Here is a 22,859-nt window from a genome sequence, read left to right as displayed (position 1 = left end):
ACCACATAAGCCAGTGCAACTACAAAAGATAAAGAGAAGGGATTAGGAAAACTGCCAGGAGCAGTGGTTCTCACCTGCAATCCCAGCACTTTGGGAGCTCAGGAGCTCTCAGCACTTGAGCTCAGGAGTTTGAGACCAGCCTGGGCAACGTAGTGAGACCTCATCTCTGCAAAAAATACAAAATTAGCTGGGTGTGGTTACATGCACCTGTGGTCCCAGCTACTTGGGAGACTGAGGTAAAAGGACTGCTTGAGCCTGGGAGTCGGAGGTTGCAATGAGCTGAGATCATGCAACTGTACTCCAGAGCAAGACTCTGTCTCAAAAGAAAAAAAAAAAAAAAAAAAGATTAGGGATACTAAAACGAAAACATTAGTGTTTGGAGAGAAAACCGAATGGATAAATGGAATCGATATTAGGAAAATAAGAGAATTCTGTAAGGTAGCTGAAAAAGCTGACATTTTATACATTGAAGTCATAATTGTTCATAACTTTTAGAAGTTAGAGATAATAAGAATTTGAGTTTAGAGTCAAAAGGGTCAGGCTCCATCAAATACTAATATCCTAATCAAAGAATTACTTGGCCAGGTGCGGCGGCTCATGCCTGTAATCCCAGCACTTTGGGAGGCCGAGGTGGACACATGACGAGGTCAGGAGATCGAGACCATCCTGGCTAACACAGTGAAACCCCGTCTCTTCTGAAAATAGAAAAAATTAGCCGGGCGAGGTGGCGGGTGCCTGTAGTCCCAGCTACTCGGGAGGCTGAGGCAGGAGAATGGTGTGAACCCAGGAGGTGGAGCTTTCAGTGAGCCGAAATCACGCCACTGCACTCCAGCCTGGGCAACAGAGCGAGAGACTTTGTCTCGAAAAGAAAAAAAAGAATTATTTAACTTAACTTTAGGGTGCTCTAATAATCAAAATTGATAGTGGCTTGTGAACAGATAGATCACTTGAATAGAATAGAGCCCAGAAATAAACCCAAATGCTTCTGGGGGAGTTTAGTATATTATAAACATGGCATTTCAAATCAATGAGGAAAAGAAATCATTTGCAGCTCACCCCACCATAGGCAGCAGGAATAGGAAGTCATTGGCAGAATAAAAAGATGGTAAGGACAGAATTGTAGAACAGTACATTTCTTGCTTCCCCACTTTTCAAAGTATTTTTTGCTTTTACACAAGTATAAGTGTAATTTTATTTTCTCAATGTATACTAATTCTTTTGTCTCTTTCTTAGATGAATGAAAAAAATTACACCTTTAGAAAAAGAGTTGTTATAAAAAAGCCTTGGTTGCGTCTGGGGGAAGTGACAGCACAGAAGAGACCAGAGAATAGCCTGCTGGAGGAGACCCTGCACTTTGACCATGCTGTCCGGATGGGTACGGTGCCCTCTTCTGCAAAGTTTTTCTATGGTTCCATTTTGTAGGAAGATTTGGGGTGATGTTTCTTTTCCCTCAACTTTTTATTTTAAAAACTTGCAAACACAGAAAAGTTGATAAAATAATACAGTGAACATCAGTATGCTATTCAACTGGATTCACCAATTAACATTTTATCATATTTGTTTTGTCTCCCCTGCATATGGAAGATTGTATATGTGCCCTTTTCCCCCCTGAATCATTTCAAAGTAAGTTGCCAGTATCAGCATTTCAGTGTTAAGTACTTTCGCAGATATCTTCTAGGAACCAGGACGTTCTCCTATATAATCACAATACCATTAATCCCACCCCAAAAATTTAACATCAATACACTAATGATACCTACTGTATAGATTATAATCAGCTTTCTTGCAGTAATCTGTTTAGAAGGCTTGCACCCTGTCACCATCCACTGATTAAATTTTGAACTCTAACTTGAAACCCTGCTCATCTCATTGCCTTCTTTCTTATACCCATTAAGTCAAAAAGAGCTCTCATTTTATTTCAACGGAAAAGAGAATGGAAAAGAGGGGAAGGTACCTGGGATAAAGTATGAGCACTTACTGCCATATGTATTCTAGTTCTGTAGTTTTCAAACTTCAGGGAGCATCTCAAGGCTTATTAAAGGACAGACAGCTGTCCCTCTTCCCCACTTTCTGATTCAGGAGGTGTGGGGCTGGCCCAGGAATTTGCATGTCTAACAAGTTCCCACGTGTTGCTGATGCTGAGGGTCTAAGGACTACAATGGGAGAATCCGTGGTTTAGTGGATATCCACCTAAAGAATACTTGTTGTATTTCCTTTAGTGCCTGTGATTACAGAGGAAATACCTTTCAACTGGAAGATATCATTAAACACAGGAAAAGAGATCAGGTCAGTAAGAATTAAATTTAACTTAATTGAAATGTCACTGAAATTTTTAGAAATAATATGACAGGCCAGGCACAGTGGCTCATGCCTGTAATCCCAGCACTTTGGGAGGCCAAGGCGGACAGATCTCTTGAGGTCAAGAGTTTGAGACCAGGCTGTCCAAGATGGTAAACCCCGCTCTCTACTAAAAATACAAAAATTAGCTGGGCATGGTAGTGCATGCCTGTAGTCCCAGCTACTTGGGAGGCTGAGGCAGGGGAATTGCTTGAACTCGGGAGATGGAGGTTGCAGTGAGCTGAGATGCGCCACTGCACTCTGAGACTCTATCTCAAAATAAATAAATAAATAAATAAATAAATAAATAAATAAATAAATAAATAAAAATAAAAAATAAAGGGAAGATGGGGCAGCTTTGTGTAGTGCACTTCCCGAAAATGGGCTGATTTCCCTCAAGAGGCAGGGATTGAAGCTCTCTAGCCTACATGGGATACATACAGGAGAAAAAAGAAGAAAAAGAAAAGAAATGTAAACATAAATAAATGAAAATAACACTTCTCCCTGATTATAAAGGAAATCACATTCTTTTTGTAATAATTTGGATGACAAAATATAAAGAAAAATCTTTAATTTTGCCACTCAAAACATTCTGGTTTGTTGCTTTTTACACTTTTTATGCATATAAACATATTTAAAAGTAGAATCTGCCATGTTGAGACTGTGAGGTTGAAGCCTTCGGGAAAGAACATCAAGATGAATGGAGTCTGAGTTCCTGACAACATGGAGCATCATGCCAGCCATGAACCACTTCTGAGACATCCCTATGAGACAAAAATAAACTTCCATGTTCTTTAATTTATCATTTTGGAGGGTTTTCTGTTATTGCCGCAAAACCTAATCTTAACTAATACAGACATTGTATCTGAAATTCCCAGGAAAATCCCTGTAAACGTGTTGCTTGCCACGAATAACTGGCCTCTACCAGTATCACATTCCAGATGAGCAGAACAGGGAAAGGATTGGAAGACAAGAGAGGGGAGGAACACACCTCGCTCTCTCCTGCTATTGGCTGTGCCTGGCTGCAAGCTAGAAATGCTGGGTCCATTGCAAATGGCCACACATCTAAGGCCCTACCACCATGGGAACAGCCACTGGGAGATAACTAGCAGCTTTTACCATTTGTCATTTAATTATTTTAAAGTTAGAAACTTTTTCTTTTTGAATGTCTGAAAGAGAATGGCCTGAGAAATATTTTGGAAAAGTTAAATAAAGCTGATTTGTGACTGTTAAAAAAAATAAAAGTACAATCATAGTAAATGGGCTTTTGTCACTTATTATATTTTAAACATGTTTCTAGGGCAGAAGTATATCCTGGCATCATCATTTTTAATAGCTGGATTATGTTAAGTGAATCATTGCCACCCCAGAGGTGAATTTCCTCTATATACATTTTAATGGACTCCAGTAAGGATTTTTGCACTGAATTCATAGAAGTAGAATTTCTAGAGGAAAATAATGTAAAACTGTTTTAGGATTTTTAAAAGAAATGTTCAAATTATCCTGTAGGAAAATTGGTTCAGTTTATGCTCCCACCAACAGGGACAGAGCTCCAGGTTCCCCCTTCCATTTGTCATCTTTGCTGGTCTTTAAGCAGAAAATCTCATTGTTTTCATTACATTTCTTTGATTTCTAGTGCTTTTGAATCTTTTTCGTTTGCTCATTGGCCATTTTTATTCTTGTGGGAAGTGCCGGTTTCTCCATTGCCCATTTTCTGCTGGAAATCATTCATTTTTTTAATGAGTAATTTTAAATTTTTCTTTTTAGGCTAAGGATAAGTCAGGATCAGTCAGTTCAAGACTAGACTGATCAACATGGAGAAACCCCGTCTCTACTAAAAAGACAAAATTAGCTGGGTGTGGTGGCACATGCCTATAATCCCAGCTACTCAGGACTCTGAGGCAGGAGAATTGCTTGAATCCAGGAGGTGGAGGTTGTGGTGAGCCGAGATTGCACCATTGCACTCCAGCCAGGGCAACAAGAGCCAAACTCTGCAAGAAAGAAAAAGCAAGAAAGCAAGAAAAGCAAGAAAGCAAGAAAGCAAGAAAGCATGAAAGCAAGAAAGCAAGGGAAGCACGGGAAGCAAGGGAGAAAGGAAATAAAGGGAAGAAAGAAAGGAAGAAGGAAGGAAGGAAGGAAGGAAGGACAGAAAGAAAGAAAGAAAGAAAGAAAGAAAGAAAGAAAGAAAGAAAGAAGAAAGAAAGAAAGAGAAAACAAAGAAAAAACAAATGAGACCATGGGCTTGGAAATGCCTTGAGAACATGTCAGGTGTGATTGAGAGTGAGGGAGTGTTACTGTGGAGTATCAGTGTAGCTGTTGTTCTGGTCGTCCAGCTACTCCTCTGCCTGCTCTATCCTGACTTAACCTTTCTCTATTTGCAGTACATCGAGAAATTAACAAAGGAGAGGGACGCTCCGAGTCTGGAACTGTACAGGAACACGTAGGATGGGGGAAGGTGGAATGGGAGGTCTGGGGGCCCTTAGAGTGGGTGGTGTGCTGGGAGGTGGGGGGTACAGGTGAGCATGGTGAGAGGCTTCTACAGGTTTTCATGTGTGCACAGGGAAGCTCTAGTGCCGGCGGTGCCACTGACTCATGGGGAAGCCTCAGGCAACTCATGTCTTCTCTCTGGCCTGCCACCTGTGACTTTTAATTCCTGGGGTCCTTTCCAATGCCACCGTTCTGTGGTTGTGTGGTGAAAGTAGAGGGTTGATCACCAAAGCGGTCCTTTCTATTCTTTGTTCATTCCTTTCTCTACTGCCTCTGGCCACAGCATAACCGATGAGGAGTTGAAGGAGAAAAATGCCGAACTACAAGAAAAACTTCGACTTGTAGAATCTGAAAAGTCTGAGATCCAGCTCAACGTAAAGGACCTTAAAAGGAAGCTGGAAAGGGCCCAGCTCCTGCTGCCACAGGCGAGCAGCTGCAGCCCCGGGGGTTGTGGGAGCCCCATCCGGCTGGGGCCATGGTCTAGGGATCATGTAGGGTGTGGGGAGGCTCCAGCCAAGAGCTGGAAAATTTGGGTCCTTGTTCTGGTCCCACCATAGAATCCTCTGGAGTGTGCTAAAAATATACAAATTGGGGCCCTGCCTGGGGAATCAGAATCTCAGAGTTTGGGCTTAAAAAAATATTTTTCAAAGGATCATAGATGAAAACCATTATTTTATAGATTACATTTATATGGCTAGCTCATGAGTCTGTTTCCTTCTGAGGTTTGAACCAACACTTTCACTATTCCAGCAGCAGCTGCAGGTGGAGGCTGACCGCCTGGGTAAGGAGCTACAGAGTGTGTCAGCAAAGCTCCAAGCCCAGGTGGAAGAGAACGAGTTGTGGAACCTCCTGAACCAGCAACAAGAGGAGAAGATGTGGAGGCAGGAGGAGAAGATACAGGAGCAGGAAGAGAAGATGTGTGAGCAGGAGCTGAAGATAAGGGAGCAGGAGGAGAAGATGTGGAGGCAGGAGGAGAAGATGCATGAGCAGGAAGAGAAGATACGGGAGCAGGAGGACAAGATGTGGAGGCAGGAGGAGAAGATACGGGAGCAGGAAGAGAAGATACGGGAGCAGGAGGAGAAGATGTGGAGGCAGGAGGAGAAGATACGGGAGCAGGATGAGAAGATACAGGAGCAGGAGGAGGAGATGTGGAGGCAGGAGGAGAAGATACGGGAGCAGGAGGAGAAGAGGCAGGAGAAGATGTGGAGGCAGGAGAAGAAGATGCGCGAGCAGGATGAGAAGATACGGGAGCAGGAGGAGGAGATGTGGAGGCAGGAGGAGAAGATACGGGAGCTGGAGGAGATGATGCAAGATCAGGAGGAGAAGCTGCGGGAGGTGGAGGAGAAAATGCAGGAGGAGGAGGAAAAGATGCAGGAGCAGGAGGAGAAGATACAGAGGCAGGAGGAGAAGATCCAGGAGCAGGAGGAGAAGACGTGGAGGCAGGAGAAGCTGCTCAAGCAGGAAGAGAAGATATGGGAGCAGGAGGAGAAGATGTGGAGGCAGGAGGAGAAGATGTGGGAACAGGAGGAGAAGATGCAGGAACAGGAGGAGAAGATGCAGAGGCAGGAGGAGAAGATGCGGGAGCAGGAAGTGAGGCTGTGGCAGCAGGAGGAGAAGATGCAGGAACAGGAGGTGAGGCTGCAGGAGCTGGAGGAGAGGCTGGGGAAGCTGGGGCAGAAGGCGGAGCTCTTGGGGGGAGCAGGCAGAGGTGTGTGCAAACCCTGGAGATCATACAGAACGACCTCACCACAACTTAGCAGATGGTGGTTGGCTCCCTCTGCTTTTCCACCAGTCTGCGGCCTACAGTTTAAGTGGTGGGAAGAAGGGTGTGAGATTTGAGGCTGGGGAGGGAGGCATGGGCCTCTAGGCAAGGGAGGCAGTCACTTAGGCCTGGAGGAAGGGGCCAGGGCCAGGGGCCTGAGCAGGCGACAGAGCCCCGCAGTGCCCTTGCCACCCTGTTTATGGGCCCAGAATCTGGAAGCCAGCGACTACCTACCCTGACGCCTATCCTGCAGGTGGAGCTGAAGAGCCAAGAGGCTCAGAGTCTGCAGCAGCAGCAAGACCACTACCGGGGTCACCTGCAGCAGTACGTGGCCGCCTATCAGCAGCTGGCCTCTGGGAAGGAGGCACTGCCCAGCTGCAGCAGCAGGAAGCTCAGGGCGAAGCGGTGGCTGAGATGGCCCACCAATAGTTGCAGGAGACCCAGCTGAGGGAGTTGATGAGGGTGGGGCCCTGAGGGGGACGACCTGGCAAACTCGGTGCCTTCTCACTCTCTTTCCTGGCCCCTTAGGAGCACCTGGAAGCTGCCATCTACCAAGCAGATGACAAGAACACAAATATAATAAACATGTAAAAGCCGGCAGCAAGGCCTGGAGAAGAGTAAGCTGCCATGTGACTGTTTAGAATAGAGTCTGAGCACAAACCTGAAAAAAAAAAAAAGAAAATTTATTTATTTTAAATTTTGGCAAAATACTGGCCAGGCACGGTGGCTCATGCCTGTAATCCCAGCAATTTGGGAGGCTGAGGTGAATGGATGACCTGAGGTCAGGAGTTCAAGGCCAGCCTGGCCAATACAAAAATTAGCCGGGCATGGTGGCACATGCCTGTAATCCCAACTACTTGGGAGGCTGAGGCAGGAGAATCGCTTGAACCTGGGAGGCAGAGGTTGCAGTGAGCTGAGATCGTGCCACTGCACTCAAGCCTGGGTGACAGAGTGAGACTCTGTCTCAAAAAAAAAAAAAAAGTTTCTTCCTTACATGTATGTTTCTATTAGTTTTTTTCTTGGTCTTTCTCATTTAGTCTGATGTTGTCTTATGGCATTCCTAGTAAAGTTTTATCTGCCTCCAGAGAGTATTGACTTTGACTTTATGGCACACAATTGGAGTAAGGGCAGATCGCCTTCATCTAGTTTGTGACTAAGCTAGTTCAAAGCAGGTTTTAGGTTTTGTGACGGCTGGTCTATATTTTATTCATTTGGACTCCTAGGGGTGGCCCTTCCAGGGTCCCCACCAATGTCCCATCTCCTTCCTGGGACCCAAATTCTCATTAGGTCATTTCAGCCCTGTGAGAGTGCCAACATTCAGCTAGGCTCTCCAGCCCCTTAACTACCACTTCATATTCAGTTTCTTAGCCTCTTAGCCCTCTACTGTTGACCGATCACCAAATGTGGGAAAAGCACTACAGACTGTCAGGATCACCTCCCAGGCCTGGTCACTCAAGTGCTGGCTGAGGTCTCCAATTACCTTCCAACAATTGTTTTTGGTGGTGGGGCACATTTTTGTCCAGTTTTTCTAACTGTTCCTATGGGGAGGCGAATCTGTAACAAGCTCCTCTGCCTTTAGTGAAAGTTGAAAACCTTCATCTGTCTCTCTCTCTTTTTTTTTTTTTTTTTTTGAGATGGAGTCTTGGTCTGTTGCCCAGGCTCTAGTGCAGTGGCATGATCTCTGCTCACTGTAACCTCTGCCTCCTGGGTTCAAGCAATTCTCCTGCCTCAGCTTCCCGAGTAGCTGGGATTACAGGCGTGTGCCACCATGCCTGGCTAATTTTTATTTTTTAAATAGAGACAGGATTTCACCACATTTTCCAGGCTGGTCTCGAGCTCCTGACTCAGGTGAGCTACCTGCCTCAGCCTCCCAAAGTGCTGGGATTACAGACGTGAGCCATTGCATCCGGCCCATCTGTCTTTTAAGAAATGTATTTAATTTGAGGTATAATTTATATTCAGTGAAATGCACAGATCTGGTTTCCATTTTGATCAGTTTCAACAAATGCATTACCCATGTAACCCACCTCCTTTGAAGATATAGAGTATTTCTATCATCCAGAAAGTTCTCCTACGCTTTCATCCTGTCTGGCACTCCCCCAGCAGCTGAAGAACGTGCTGAGGACATTGGTACAGGATTCTGGCCTCCCCAGAAGAGCTGCTTTGACAAGCCTTCTTGCCTTACCCAGCACTAAATCCCTGCCTACTCTCTCAAAATTTCCATCTTTTAACTGGTTGTACGTATAACCCTCCCTCATCAAGTCAATAGATAAACAAACCCTGAAAAATAAACACCCCTTCCTGGCCCAGCAGCCCACAGCCTAATATTTACTGTCTTCCCGGGCTTTCAGAAATGCAACTCGCCTGCCGGTTCACCCTAACTAGGGCGGCAGCTGCACGGGAGCTGCTGGGCTCACCCGTTAAGCAAGAAGCCAATAGCTGGACAGTGACACTCAGACCCCAGCCTGGGTGAGCCTGGTTGAAAGCCCCCTTCTTTCCCGTCCGACTGTGGAGAAAGGGGGCGGAGCACACACAACTCTACTGCCCTCCGCATCCTTCAGCTGTGCTTCCTCCTGGGAGAGGGAGCTACTCATTAATTCGGCCAAAACCTTCTTGAGGGCTGTAGGTTTCACAGGCTGGGTGTGTGGGGGCCACCATGCTAGAGAGAGAGGCTGGTGTGTCAGAAGGCAGCCACCTGGCCAGGGGAGGGTCAACCTGCTTGGTGACCTCCTTCCCCCGGCTGGACACAGCGCCCTGCACTCTCTACATGTGACTGTTCCCCTCAGAGCTGCTTCCAGAGGAGAGGTTCTAACCCTGTGGGTGGGGACATTGTGTTACTTTACAGTGGGCCATGGCTCCCTCTGACATCTCCAACTCAGAGGCAGTAGAGAGAAGATGAGAAACTCCATGCACCTCCTCGCTCAGCACCCCCACCTCTGCACACGTCCACATATGGAGACCCTGACGATGGGCCCTGGGAGTGCCGCCATCTGCGCCTCCTTTCCATGCCTGCAGCAGCCATGCCCACTCTCCAGACCCTCACCCGCCTCGCTCAGTAGACGCTGCACTGCCTGTGGTCCTGCCCCTACACCTGGGCCTCTGTACCCATCGGTTCTCGCAGTCTGGTTCTTATTCCTCGCAAAGAGTAGGGAGCCTGTAAGGTCACCTGTTGAGCAAGCTGGGGGAGAGAGTAGGGTGGGGCTGGGAGGATGAGGAGGAGAAGCTCATGGTCGTGCTGGAGACTCAGCTGAGCAGAGTCTCTGCAGGCCCATTGGCTGCCTAGCCAGTGGTGATCCTGCTCCCACCCTCATTTCTTCTTTGTTAACAAAACCATGACCTCATTAAATATTGGACACCTATAAACCTCATGGACCCTCCTCCAGCCTCCCCGCCATGTATTGGTGAGTCTAAGTCAACTCTAGTCATTTCATTCCTCTGGACATTGAGTGCTTTGGGCTTGGGCATGAGCTGCCTCTTCGCCTGAGCCTGAGCCACAGGTGCCCTCTGCACCTACCACACTGATGCACTGGGCCAGGGAGAGCTCCATCTCGATGGAGATGAGCTGTGAGGAGCTGGCGGCTGGGCGGATCAGGTTGTGGTAACGGGTTTTGTTCAGAAGGTCGTCCATCAGCTTCTGCTCGGCAGGGCCATGCGGCAGAACCCTGCGTAAACACACAGACCTGCTTGGTCCTTGTGCAGCTGTCCCCCACTGCAGCTGACAGCTATGAAGCAGGAGCTGAGAGGGCCAGGGAGCACAGACACCCTGAGAGCTGGCTGAAGCAGTGAAGGTGCTGGCCGGCCTGGCTTTCCCTGGGGACTTCAAATGACATTCATGACAGAGCTCAGCTACCTCCTCCCATGCCATACCTCTTCCTCCTCCTCCTCCCTCCGTCAATGAACAGCATCCCACGCTCTACACATCTGATACAAAACTGGGTGTCTCTTCCTGACTCCTCCCTTGGTTCATATAAGTGGCCACCAAGTCCTGTCTGTCCTCCCATCTCCACGGCTACAGCCATGTCCCTGCCTCCCCCGCCCTGCCCACCTTCTGTTCTCTCCACCTGCACTCTGCCCCTGCCATCCATGTGCCATACAGTGGCAGACTGGTCTTTCTACAGCAAACTGGACTTGGGCCCTTCCCTACCCACAGCTCTCAGAGCTGGAGGTGGAGTTGAAACTCATGTTTTGGCTTGGCATTCAGAGCTCTTTCCCCCTCAGCTCTGGCTTATCCAGAGTGCTCACAGTGCAGGGCAGGAGCCCCATCACTCAAGTGTGGGTTTGGTGCAGAACTGGGTCAGAGGTGGTGCTTTCCCTATGAAGAGACAGGGCTGAGATGGGATATTCGGGGTTCAGAGTCAGATCTATGGAGTGCAAGGTTTCTCTGAGGCACCAAATGGAGGGGTCCAGCTAGCAGCTGGCTCCTGGTCTGGAGCTTCAAGGAGAGGTCTCAGCTCAGAGCCACATTCAATAGCCAGCTTATATGCAGCCTCCTGCAGGGAGCCCCTGGAGCTTCCACAGCCTCCGATCTGCCCCTCTGCATACCCCAGATCTCCTGCTAAGTGGCGTTTGGGTCTTCATGTCATCTCCCTCCCATGTCTGGGAGTAAAGGTGAGGTGCAGGGACTTGCGCTTGTGTACTCTGGTGTCTTAAGGGAGAGTGTGTCAAGTAGAGTGGAGGCAGCTTGGAAAGAGGGAGACTCAGAGGAGAGTGAAGGACACATGACCAGGCGAGCCTGGGAGCAGGAAAAGAGTGAGCAGAGGAAACTGCTGGGTCAGGGGAGCGGATGGGAGGATCAGGGAATGCGGGGGGCTGGAGAGGTGGGTGTGGGGATGCTGGCAAGGGGCTGCCTGGCTCGCCAGGCTCAGGAGTTTTTACATCCTCCCACAATGGCCAGCTCACCTGGTCGCTCCAAAGCCCTCCCTCTGTGGGTGGGACCAGAGGGCCCAGAGCACGGATGACCCAGTTGAGCAGGACTGAGGTGGACTCAGGTGGGTGCTGGGCTGGACTCCTGGCCGTAGGGAGCAGCTGCCACCCTGCCTACTGCATCCACATTCCAACTCGCTGCCTATCTGAGCAGATGCAATATTGGGCACCTTGTGGAACATGCTCCTGGTGCACCTGCTGCCTCCTGCCCTTCCTGCAGAGTGCCCGGGCTCTCCAGAGGGGATTCCTGTGGAGGCTTGGCCTAGATTCTGAGTCCTGCCTCTCATACCCGGGGCTGCTACCCAAGAGGCCAGCTGCTTGAGTACCCTGGAAGCCAGTCTGTAGCCCCAGGCTACAGCTGGGTGCATCCCACAGCCCTTCTTTAGTTTACCTATTTGGACTGAGTGCTCATTTCATAGAGAGGGGTGTGTCTTTCCCCAGCCCATCTGGCATGTCTAAGGCAGCTGTGGGGTCAGAATCTGCAGCTCCCAGCCCCTAGCCCTGCAATAGTAGGAGAGGCTGGACCCCACATCTCTGAAGTCCCACTGGGCTGGTGCAAGTGGGCTCCCAAGTTCAGAGCTGCTGTGCAGGCTGTGGGGCTCATGCACCTGTTCTGAACCCACCTGATGTGCTCAGGTTACTCACCTTTGGGCCTGTCCTGCCTCTCTGGCATTCGGCTGACCCTGAGGGCCTCTCCCTCATCTTGACCACCAGCTATGGGCTCTGACTTAGGGGTTCCCAGAACCTTAGACCATTTGGCTGACCCCCCATTTCTCAGCTAAGGAAACAGGCCAAAAAGGGGAAGCAGCTTTCTCAAGGACCCCCAGCAAGTCAGAGGCAGAACCAGGTCTAGGAACCTCTTTTTGACAGAGGTTCTCCCTGTCCCCTGAGCCTTCTTTAGTGCCTCATTAACTTCCCTGTAAGGAGACTGCCCCGCTGAGGCTGGAAATGGTGCTGTCCAGGGTGGTGTGTGCCCGTGACTGTGCTTGTGTTTGTACTTGTGAGTGTGTATGGGGGTGGGGATGAGGGGTGGGAATAAACGGCAGGGATGCTGGGGGCTGGAATACACTCTGCCTCACCCCAAAAAGGGGCACAGCAGAGCCCAGCCAAGCACAGCACATGCTTCGACTTTCCAGTCCGCTGAATGAGTGTGAGGCCGGCTGGGCCCAGAAGACAAGGGACAGGCCTTTCCCCACAGACGGCAGGGGGGCCCAGGATGGGTGGAAGATTTTGCCACAGCTTTGGGGATCCCATCCCAGCCCATGGGCTGACTGTTAAGCAGAAAAGCCACCTCTAGGGGTCAGTCATGATCTAGTGATTCTGATGAGGAGGGGGCCCCACCAGCCTCTGTCCAGGGTCTTGTCTGGGAAAAACTGCTCCCTGGCAGAAACGGGCTAATAATTTGAGAGGAAGCCATAGCTGAAATCCTAAACTGTGTGAGTGTGTGTCCAGTTTGAAAAAGCATATTTGACCTAAACATTTATATTGAAAAAATGGAAAGATATTCCCCTTGTTTTGGAATACAAACTACAGAAAGTAACAGTTAACAGAATCCTATTGGAAAGGTCAGATTCTGCATCTGGAAAGGCACAGTGATTTTCAACTGGGGTGTGTGTCCTTAACTGAGGAAGGGAAGGTGAGATTTATGTTTAGTAAAAGGCAGCTATGAATTTACCTTTTATAAAGAGCTTGCCATATACTATTAGTGCTTTTTCAATCATGTCAGAATCTGCCGGATGCCTGTGGAAATGCAAATTCCCAGGCTTCATTCCCAGAGATTCTGGTCCTGTGAGCCTAGGGTGGGGCCCAGCAAACTCTATGGGGTGGTGCAGGCTGCCCCAGGACCACACCAAGAAACACTGCAACTGGCCCCCACACACATCCCAGTCCCCAAATATGTAGGCAGGCATCTTATCTCCATGGAACAGATAGGGAAACTGAGGTCAGAGTGGGGAAAGAAATGTCATGGGGTCACCCAGGAAGTAGTAGCATAGCCACGATACACCCACTGCCTGCAGACACCATCTCTGATGGCAGCTCCACCTCCCTACAGGAACCTTGCCTACCCCCACCCCTACCTCCTGTTGCCCCTATGCTGGGTCTCTGTCCAAGGAAGATGTAGCCCTGGTCCTCTAGGCTGACTGGGGCTTGGCCCAGAGTGTGGGAGTTAGAAGGGTCCTTGGAATTCAGGTGGGGAAACTGAGGCCCAAAGAAGGCAGCCCTCACATTTGAACTCTGTCTGGAGAAGGGCTAGGTCTTCTTCCTGAGTGGTAGTTTTGACTTCACCAGCCTGGCCCTCAGTCAAGCTGGCTGTCCAGGCCCGCCACACCTCGGGGTGGGTGACCAGAGGCGGTGGTGCCATAAAACACGTTTCCTGGGAGATCCACGCCCATAGCTCAAAACATTCCAGGTCTGGTGATTTGGGCAAGCCCCCTTCCCTCTCAGCCTTGTTTCCCCGTCTCTACAATAGCTGTGTTGCAGGAGACGTCTGTCTCGGACTGAGCTGCAGATTTTCTCCTGGCTGCCTTCACCGTCCAGGATGCTGGCTCCTCTGTGTCCACTCTTCAAGACAGTCACCTCTTAGGTGAGGAAGGAGCCTCGGCCCTATCGGGAGTGGGAGCCGGTGCACCCCCAGCCTCCCAGGCCGCTGGGGATGACTTAGGCTGCCTGCAAAGCCAGTGCCATTCGGCGCCGCTTCCCAGGCTGCAGACGACCTCCAGGGAAGGAGGCCCTGGCCCTCACAGCAGCTCTGAGAAGAGGTGGCCCCCACTCCAAACCTCGCCGAGCCACCCACACATTCCCTCAGCCCAAAGAGGCTTTTAGGAAAATGAATCATCTCAAGTTCATACCCATGGGGTTGCTGAAAGAAAGGACAGTGCAGGGTGAGCTGGCATGAGGGAGTGCTGCTCTCTGCAGACTTTGCTGGGATGGCTCTTAGGAAAAGGGCCTGGAATCTGGGATGGTGACTAGCTCAGGGTTAAAGGGAGGGGATGGAGCTGGAGTGAGCTGGCCTCATCGTCCCCCTTGGGCCTTCCAGCCTGGGCTCAGGTGATTCAAGGGAGCAAGCACCTCCTTCTCCTGGCCAGGGAGTTCTCGCCACGTTCTGGAATCAGTACCATTCCCTTGGGGGCTGGGGGACAGCAACCACCTCCGGACCTGGCTGGAACTGCTGCAATTCTGGATCCAAATGGCCCCTGGCAGCTTCTCCATCTCCCTCTCAGTCCAGCCCCCACCCCTTCCCCCATGAGGGCCCCAACAGCAAATCTGACAACTGGAGGAACAAGGCAGGAAGGGCAGAATCTGAGGGAGTGACCACCTTCAAAAGGCAGCTCTGTCACCTTCTCTCCAGGACTCTGAGGCTTGCTTTCATATTGCTTCCTCGACATCCTTTTGCTATAATCTGGCATGTTGACATATGGTCTTTAAAAACAAGAACACTGATGACGTGGAGCAGACTTCCCCTTTGGGATGGTGTGGAGAAGTTAGGGTTGAGGGCATCCTCTCTTCTGCAAACTGCAGCAGTAATAGGTGAGATATATAAAGTAAATAAAGGCCAGGTGCGGTGGCTTACGCCTGTTATCCCAGCACTTTGGGAGGCCGAGGTAGGCTGATCACCTGAGGTCAGGAGCTCAAGACCAGCCTGGCCAACATGGTGAAAACCGGTGTTTACTAAAAATACAAAAATTAGCCAGGCATAGTGGCACACACCTGTAGTCACACCTACTCAGGAGGCTGAGGCAGGGGAATCACTTGAACCCAAGAGGCAGAGGTTGCAGTGAACGGAGATCTCACCACTGCATTCCAGCCTGGATGACAGAGTGAGACTCCATCTCAAAAAATAAAAATAAAAAATTAAGTAAATAAAAAAGACACGCCCAGGCTGAAAAATAAGTTAATCACCTTCATGAATGAAAAGCAGTAAAGAAATGCAAAGTGGTTGGAGGCTGAAGAGCCTGGAGCCTGCTGGGCTTTGAAAACCAAAGACAGTGACAGGTCTTTTGGGATAAAGGGGTACCAAATGACTCCTAGCTAGAAGCTGAGAGCTTAGGTGTACCCCAGTACTTGAAAGCATGCTGGCCAGGTGCAGTGGCTCATGCCTTTAATCCCAGCACTTTGGGAGGCCGAGGTGGGCAGATCACGAGGTCAGGAGATCAAGACCATCCTGGCTAACACGGTGAAACGCCGTCTCTACTGAAAATACAAAAAAAAATTAGCCGGGTGTGGTGGCGGGCACCTGTAATCCCAGCTACTTGGGAGGCTGAGGCAGGAGAATCCCTTGAACCTGGGAGGCAGAGGTTGCGGTGAGCTGAGATCACACCACTACACTCCAGCCTGGGCGAAAAGAGCGAGACTTCATCTCAAAAAAACAGAACAAAATAAAACAAAACAAAAAACAACCAAGGGTGCTGGAGGGTGGGGGAGTCTGCTGCTGCTCTGTGGTCTGTATCCCTGGCTTTATGGGATGTATACCTTCCCAGTATCCCCAGGACAGGAGCTTGCACATGCTGTAAAACCTGTAGGCCACTGCAAAACTGTCAACGTCAGGCTAGCAAAGGTGATAGGATTAAATAGGTCTTTATAAAAGTTTGACAAGTTTTTTTAATAAAAGAAAAAGAGCTATTTAATTATCTATCAAGAATAATATAATCTTGGTACAAAGCTTGGCACAAAAGGATGTCCAAGGAAAGTTCACGATGGAACAGTCTGAATGACGAGTCTTTGTCACAGGGAGAGGGCACAGGGCAGTGCTTAGTGCTTGGCCTCTGGAGCCAGGAAATCCGGATTTGTATTCCTGCTGCCACTACTTATCCTCCCTGTGACCTTAGGGAAAATGGCTTGCCTTCACTGGGCCTTCACTTCCTCATTGATAAAGGGGGAAATAACCTTTACAATAAGCCTTCTAGGATGAAATGAAATAATTCAAGGAAAGTAACTTAACAAGACCCAGAACATAGAAAACCAAATAGATGTTAACTATTATTAACTTTTAGGAACATGAATTCCAAAACTTTAAGTAAAATAATACCAAGTTGAATACAGCAATGTACACACACACAAATAATGCATCATGGTGAATTAGGTTTTATTACAATAATGCAAGGGCAGAGTCAACATCAGATAATGCACTATTAGCAAGCTAGCTTCCTTTTTTTTTAAGACAAGGTCTCACTGTCACCCAGGCTGGGGTGTAGTGTCAACATCTTGGCTCACTGCAACCTCCACCTCCCCAGCTCAAGCAATCCTCCCCACAGCCTTCCAAAGTGCTGAGGTTACAGCTGTGCGCCACCACACCCGGCCCTATCTTCCTTAATGTAAAGCAATTATCATACTTAATAGTAAAATTTTAGAAGTGCTTTTCGTCAAAGTTAGGACATAGACAAGGGTACCTTCTATCGCTGTATCTACTGAACATGGCACTGGAGACCCTAGGTAATGTGTTAGGCTAATACATATGAAATTGCCATTTTTTTAAGGTTATGGAGTGCAGTGGAGTGCAGTGGCATAGCATCAGAAATGTATGTAATTCAACCTATAATAGAAATAAATCAGCTAGGTGAGATGGCTTATGCCTATAACCCCAGCACTTTGGGAGGCTGAGGCAGGAAGATCACCTGAGGTTAGGAGTTGGAGACGAGCCTGGCCAAAATGATGAAACCTCATCTGTACTAAAAAAAAAAACACACAAAAATTACCCAGGTGTGGTGGTGGGTGCCTGTAATCCCAGTTACTCAGGAGGCTGAGGCAGGAGAATCTCTAGAACTCGGGAGGTGGAGGTTGCAGTGAGCCAAAATTGTTTCACTGTACTCCAGCCTGCGCAACAGAGTGAGGCTCTGTCTCAAAAACAAACAAACAAACAAACAGAAAGAAAGAAAGTTTCAAGTTTTCTCTTTACACAATATGGATGTACTTCATAATGGACTTTCTCATCATGATTCATGAGTGAAGTGACATTCAAACTTGGTAGCTTTTCAGTAGAACTTCCTTTCCCAACATTTTTTTCTGTTCCTTTAATGATGGCAATATCTGAGAGCTCTGAACATAAGTCAAAGGTTTGATTATTTTTCATGTGGCTGGAAATTTTTGCCCTCTGTCAAACTTGGAAATTTTTTCCTCTGCCTGGAACTTTTTGCCCCGCATCTTCCGATCGCCCCGTGTCCTCTTGTTATGCCACTACCCTTTTTTGAGTGTGTCTATTTTCTGGCACTACAATACACTCTGGCACTACAAGGCTCATCTTGTGTTTTCTCTACCCTGACCCAGAATCAGCCATTACTTCAAGGAGCCCTGGTTCTGATATTGGAGAATGCTGTTAGAAACCAGGATGTGGTACTAGGCATGCCGATTTCTATTGGAGTGTCATATAAAAAATTTGTAAATTTTTTGTAGGTCCTCCCAGTGGATAGGATTAGGAAATAAAACATGCATACTAACCACACATATACACACATCTACATCTGTTTCTGTATCTGTCTGTATACATATTAAAATAAACATGAGTTGATAACGAATGTTTCCGCTTTAATCCAAGCACAGATTTCATCCTAGCCTCCCCCTCTTCCTTCTTTTTAGCCTTTTCAACAGTGGGAAGTGTGGCTCTTGTTATGTACACTTTATTCACTTATTTGTTTGACCCTAGTATCATAAAGTAGTTCCATATGCCTGTGACAGATTGATTAACTGGAGTCCATTGTTTGTGGAGAAATATTTTTGTCCTAAGCCTTACAGCAGGGGTGGCCAAACTTTTGGCTTCCCTGGGTCACACTGGAAAAAGAAGAATTGTCTTGGGCCACACATAAAAATACACTAACACTAACAATAGCTGATGAGCTAAAAAAAAAAATCACAAAAAAATTTCATAATGTTTTAAGAAAGTTTACTAATTGGTTTTGGGCCACATGCAAAGCCATCCTGGGCTGCAGGTTGGACAAGCTTGCCTTACAGTATCCAGTCAAAATACTGTTTTCCAAAATTAGTTATTTTCTTCTTCATCCCTTTCAGTGTGGCCACTATTTATAATGCAGTTTGGTTCATTAGTGTTTGTATTCCAAAAACACCCTCAGCCTTCCTATCCTAGTTTTAATGAATTATTACGGTGAAACATAATAAGAGTCGGAGCTATACAGAAAGGTCTACTCAGAGGTGCTTTGTTCCCTCCTATTCTGTTCCCACCACTCCTACTTTCCACTACTTTTTCCACTGACCCTGTGAGCATCATATTTATTGTTAATGGCAGTTACATTTTTACCAAGTGCTTACTATCTGTAGGCACTTGGTGTGTATTGCTTCTTCTGGTGTTCACAGCAACCTCTTGAGGTAGGCACTATTATTATCCACCCCCCCCCGCCCCGTTTTTTGAGACAGAGTCTCACTCTGTTGCCCAGGCTGGAGTGCAGTGGTGCGATCTCAGCTCACTGCAACCTCTGCCTCCCAAGTTCAAGCAATTCTCCTGCCTCTGCTTCCCAAGTAGCTGCAAGTACAGGTGCGAGCCACCACACCCATCTAATTTTTGTATTTTTAGCAGGCATGGGGTTTTGCCATGTTGGCCAGGCTGGTCTCAAACTCCTGACCTCAGGTGATCCCCATTTTTTAGATGAGAAAGCAGAGTCCCAGAGAGCATAAGGAGCTTGTCCAGAGTGGCATCTCTGATGCATAACCAGTACTCAAACCAGTATTTTTCTGACACCAAGGCCTGTGTGTAAACTGTAAAAGGGCTGTTTGGTACCTGCTTTCCTAAAGTTGTCTGATCCCTTCTCAGTCCAGGTCTTCCTGAAGCTTGGCACTTCTGAAGTCACCTTTCTGAAAACATTCTGGTAACTGTTAGATCCCTTGTTGTAGCTATTCATATGTTCTGTGTGGTTAAACAAGGTTCACAGTGGGCCACCTGGCCTTTGGAACTTGGCTGAAGAGGCTGCCTTCAGTTCATCCTCCCCACCCCCGTTTTCAAAACATGGGTTTCCATGTGTTCGTTGTAAATTAGGAAACATAACCATGTTTTGAGGCTTCATAGAAAACAAACGTCTGGGGTCACACAGGTTAAAGGAGGAACCAAATTCAGCACTATCACTGTTCTATTCGGCAGGCAATTCTGGGGCCTTCCTGTGTCTCAGGTTCTGTACTAGTTGTTTCAGGACTTTGGGATAAACACAAACTATCCCTGCCCTCAGGGGGATTAAGGTCAGGTGTACAAATGACTCTAATGCGAGGCAAGGCTGGATTCAGTGCTGGAAGAGGAGGGCATACCTAACACTACGGGAATTCAAAGAGGAAATGATCAGAATGAGGAGGGAGAGATGGGTCATTCCGGGAGAAGCTTCAGGGAAAGGCAACATTTGAAATGAGACTTTGGAGAGTGAGGGAGGTTTGGGCAGATGGATAGAGAGGATGCAAGGCCAGGGGAAAGGTTTGAGCCAGAAAGTCAGCTTGGGCAAGTGCATGGGTAAAAAAAGAAAATCCACTTTGGGAGGCCGAGGCAGGTGGATCGCCGGAAGTCAGGAGTTGGAGACTAGCCTGGCCCACATGGTGAAACCCTGTCTCTCCTAAAAATACAGAAATTAGCTGGGCATGATGCTGGGCACCTGTAATTCCAGCTACTTGGGAGGCTGAGGCAGGAGAATCACTTGAACCCAGGAGGCAGAGATTGCAGTGAGCTGAGATCACACCACTGCACTCCAGCCTGGGCAACAAGAATAAAACTTCATCAAAAAAAAAAAAAAAGAAAGAAAATCACAAGGCAGTGTGGAGAATGGTGAGTAATCTAATTTGGTTATTGCAGAGAGGATGTAGAAGGAAGTGACAAGAGAGAAAGCCAGACAGGTGGCTTGGGGTCATCTTAAGGGCCTTTGTGCCAGTTAGGATGTTCCAGACTTCAGTCAGGCTGCCCAGCTCAGACTGGCTCAGACAATGAGGGGGTTTATTGGCCGTGTAATTGGGAAGTCCAGAGGCTCCAGGACTACAGAAAATTATTATTTAGTATTAGTTTGACAGCAACACCTTCTGTTTTCTGGGAGCAGGAGATGCTTGTCAAGCTGTAGGTCACTGAGTTGAATATTATCCTGCTTTATTAAATTGCCAAGGGCACGGTAATTGTTGAGAGGGGAGAAGTACACATGAAAGAAAACATGACCAGCTTAGAAACGTCAAATCATTATGACGTTGTTATAAAGTATTATAATTCTTTGAGCGTCTACTATAAGTAGAGAAACTTGAGTTCCAGGTTGTCGGCTTGGTTCTGCCAACAATCAGGAACGTGGTTTTGCATGAAGCCCTTCTTTCTCCTATAATCTTCAGTGTCCTCACCTGCAAAATGAGGCCTTTATATATATATATATATATATATATATATATATATATATATTTTTTTTTTTTTTTTTTTTTTTTTTTTTTTTTTTTTTTTTTTTTTTGAGACGGAGTCTCGTTCTGTCGCCCAGGCTGAAGTTCAGTGGTACAATCTCTGTTCACTGCAAACTCCCCCTCCTGGGTTCACAGCATTGTCCTGCCTCAGCCTCCCGAGTAGCTGGGACCACAGGCACCTGCCACCACGCCCAGCTAATTTTTTGTGTTTTTAGTAGAGATGGGGTTTCACCGTGTTAGCCAGGATGGTCTCCATCTCCTGATCTCGTGATCTGCCCGCCTCAGCCTCCCAACGTGCTAGGATTACAGGTGTGAGCCACCACGCCCGGCCAAGGCCTTTATTATACTATGGTTCCTACTGTTTTTTAAAATACTTTTATTAAGTCCAACATTTTTATTAAGAACATTGCTTTTATACATGCCTATTTATGAAAGGGGTTTTCGAGTGTTTACCACTTTTTATTAGAAATAGAGACAGTAAGAATGTTTGACTTAATTGACACAGGCATAATTGAATGGGTATAAATGGCATGCCATAGAAAGAGAAAATTAAGTTGAGCTACTCTGTTGGTTTCACTGATGAGGGGATACATCATTCAAACAGCCAGGAATTAAATCCGTCCAGCTCACAAATGGGGAAACCAGCTGTGTCTGTACCCATGGCCAGCCAGATTGAACACAAATCAGGAAAGTCAATAACTTTTCCTCAGTTCTGAGGGACTTCAGTGGCTGCGGTTCATTTTCCTTTTGCTTCTGAAACAGTGCAAGTTGATGCTCGCCTGGACAGAGCGGCAGTGAGTGGTGGCGTCTGAAGGCCAGGTCTCTGTTGAGATGACTACACGTCGTCTCCCAGTGCCCAATGCATAGAAAAGATACACTACTAAGTGTGAGATGCTCAGTGAAAAATAAAATCTGGGGTTGAATCATCATGGGGGATACTGCATACTCTGTTTCCCCCCTGCAGATTTCCAATGCTCATTAGTTTATAGAGACTCTGAGAATTCCTACAGCAAAGGCACCTGCCAAGGTACTTACAAACTAGTTTAGCTAAACCAGACTTTCAACAATTGGTTACTAAAGACCACTCAAAGTCTGTCAACACTCTGTCATCTCTATGTAATGACAGAAACATAGAAATTCAGGGTAAATGTTTAGAAATTTCTATAGAAACTTGACATTCTCCCAGCATCTGTATGTGACATCAGGGGACTTGTCTCAATGAGCAGTTACAGACCAACTCAGGTTTTGTCAGACTCGATGGAAAGATGCAGAGGCTGTGAGCTGCAAACGAGTCACATACACAAGGACCACATTGCAAGCTGTGTTCTTTAAGGTTAGTTTGTCAACTATAGTATAATCTCACACATCTGAAAAATGGGAACATCTATTCTATAAAGTCTTATTTTTGCAATAATTTTAATTTTAAATCAAGCCAATGTTAGCATTATTAGTGAAAACAAAAGAAAGTTGTGTTATTTATTATTAAACCTAATTTGAGAGTGAAATAAATTGTATTAATTTTTTTAACCAATAAAAGATGCACCTTGTAAACCAAGAGATGATTATGAAAGTGATTCTGAGGACATGAAGACCAAAGGAGTTTGTCCTCGTTTTACTCAGAAGTACTATTTCTAATGGACAGATGATCCCTGACATACAATGGTTTGACTTATAATTTTTTGACTTTATGATGGTGTGAAAGTGATACGCATTCAGCAGAAACCATACTTCAGTATTCAATAAATTACATGAGATATTCAACACTTTAAAGTGGGTTTGTGAGAGAGAATTTTTGCCCAATGGAAGGTGAATGTAAATTTTCTGAGAATGTTTAAGGTAAGCTAGGCTAAGCTATGATGTTAGCTTAGGTGTATTAAATGCATTTTAATTTAATTTAATTTAATTTAATGTTTTGAGACAGTGTGTTTTGTTCTTGTCACCCAGGCTGGAGTGCAATGGCATGATCTCGGCTCACTGCGACCTCTGCCTCTTGGGTTCA

General features: G+C 47.1%; 1 protein-coding gene across 1 annotated transcript; it reads left to right on the top strand.

Moving 5' to 3' along the window:
• Positions 1–1,358: 1,358 nt before the first annotated feature.
• On the top strand, positions 1,359–7,104 carry LOC100653133 (golgin subfamily A member 6-like protein 1; the record flags this gene model as incomplete). Its single annotated transcript, XM_035861124.1, has 6 exons — positions 1,359–1,375; positions 2,220–2,286; positions 4,719–4,777; positions 5,108–5,249; positions 5,575–6,456; positions 6,840–7,104. Coding segments are annotated over 6 exons (1,362 nt in total), but the record flags the coding sequence as incomplete, so codon positions are not given.
• Between the last annotated feature and the right edge of the window lie 15,755 nt (positions 7,105–22,859).

Source organism: Homo sapiens, chromosome 15, assembly GCF_000001405.40.
Source record: "Homo sapiens chromosome 15, GRCh38.p14 Primary Assembly".
Taxonomy (NCBI): Eukaryota; Metazoa; Chordata; class Mammalia; order Primates; family Hominidae; genus Homo; species Homo sapiens.
This window is presented reverse-complemented; position numbering and strand designations above follow the sequence as displayed.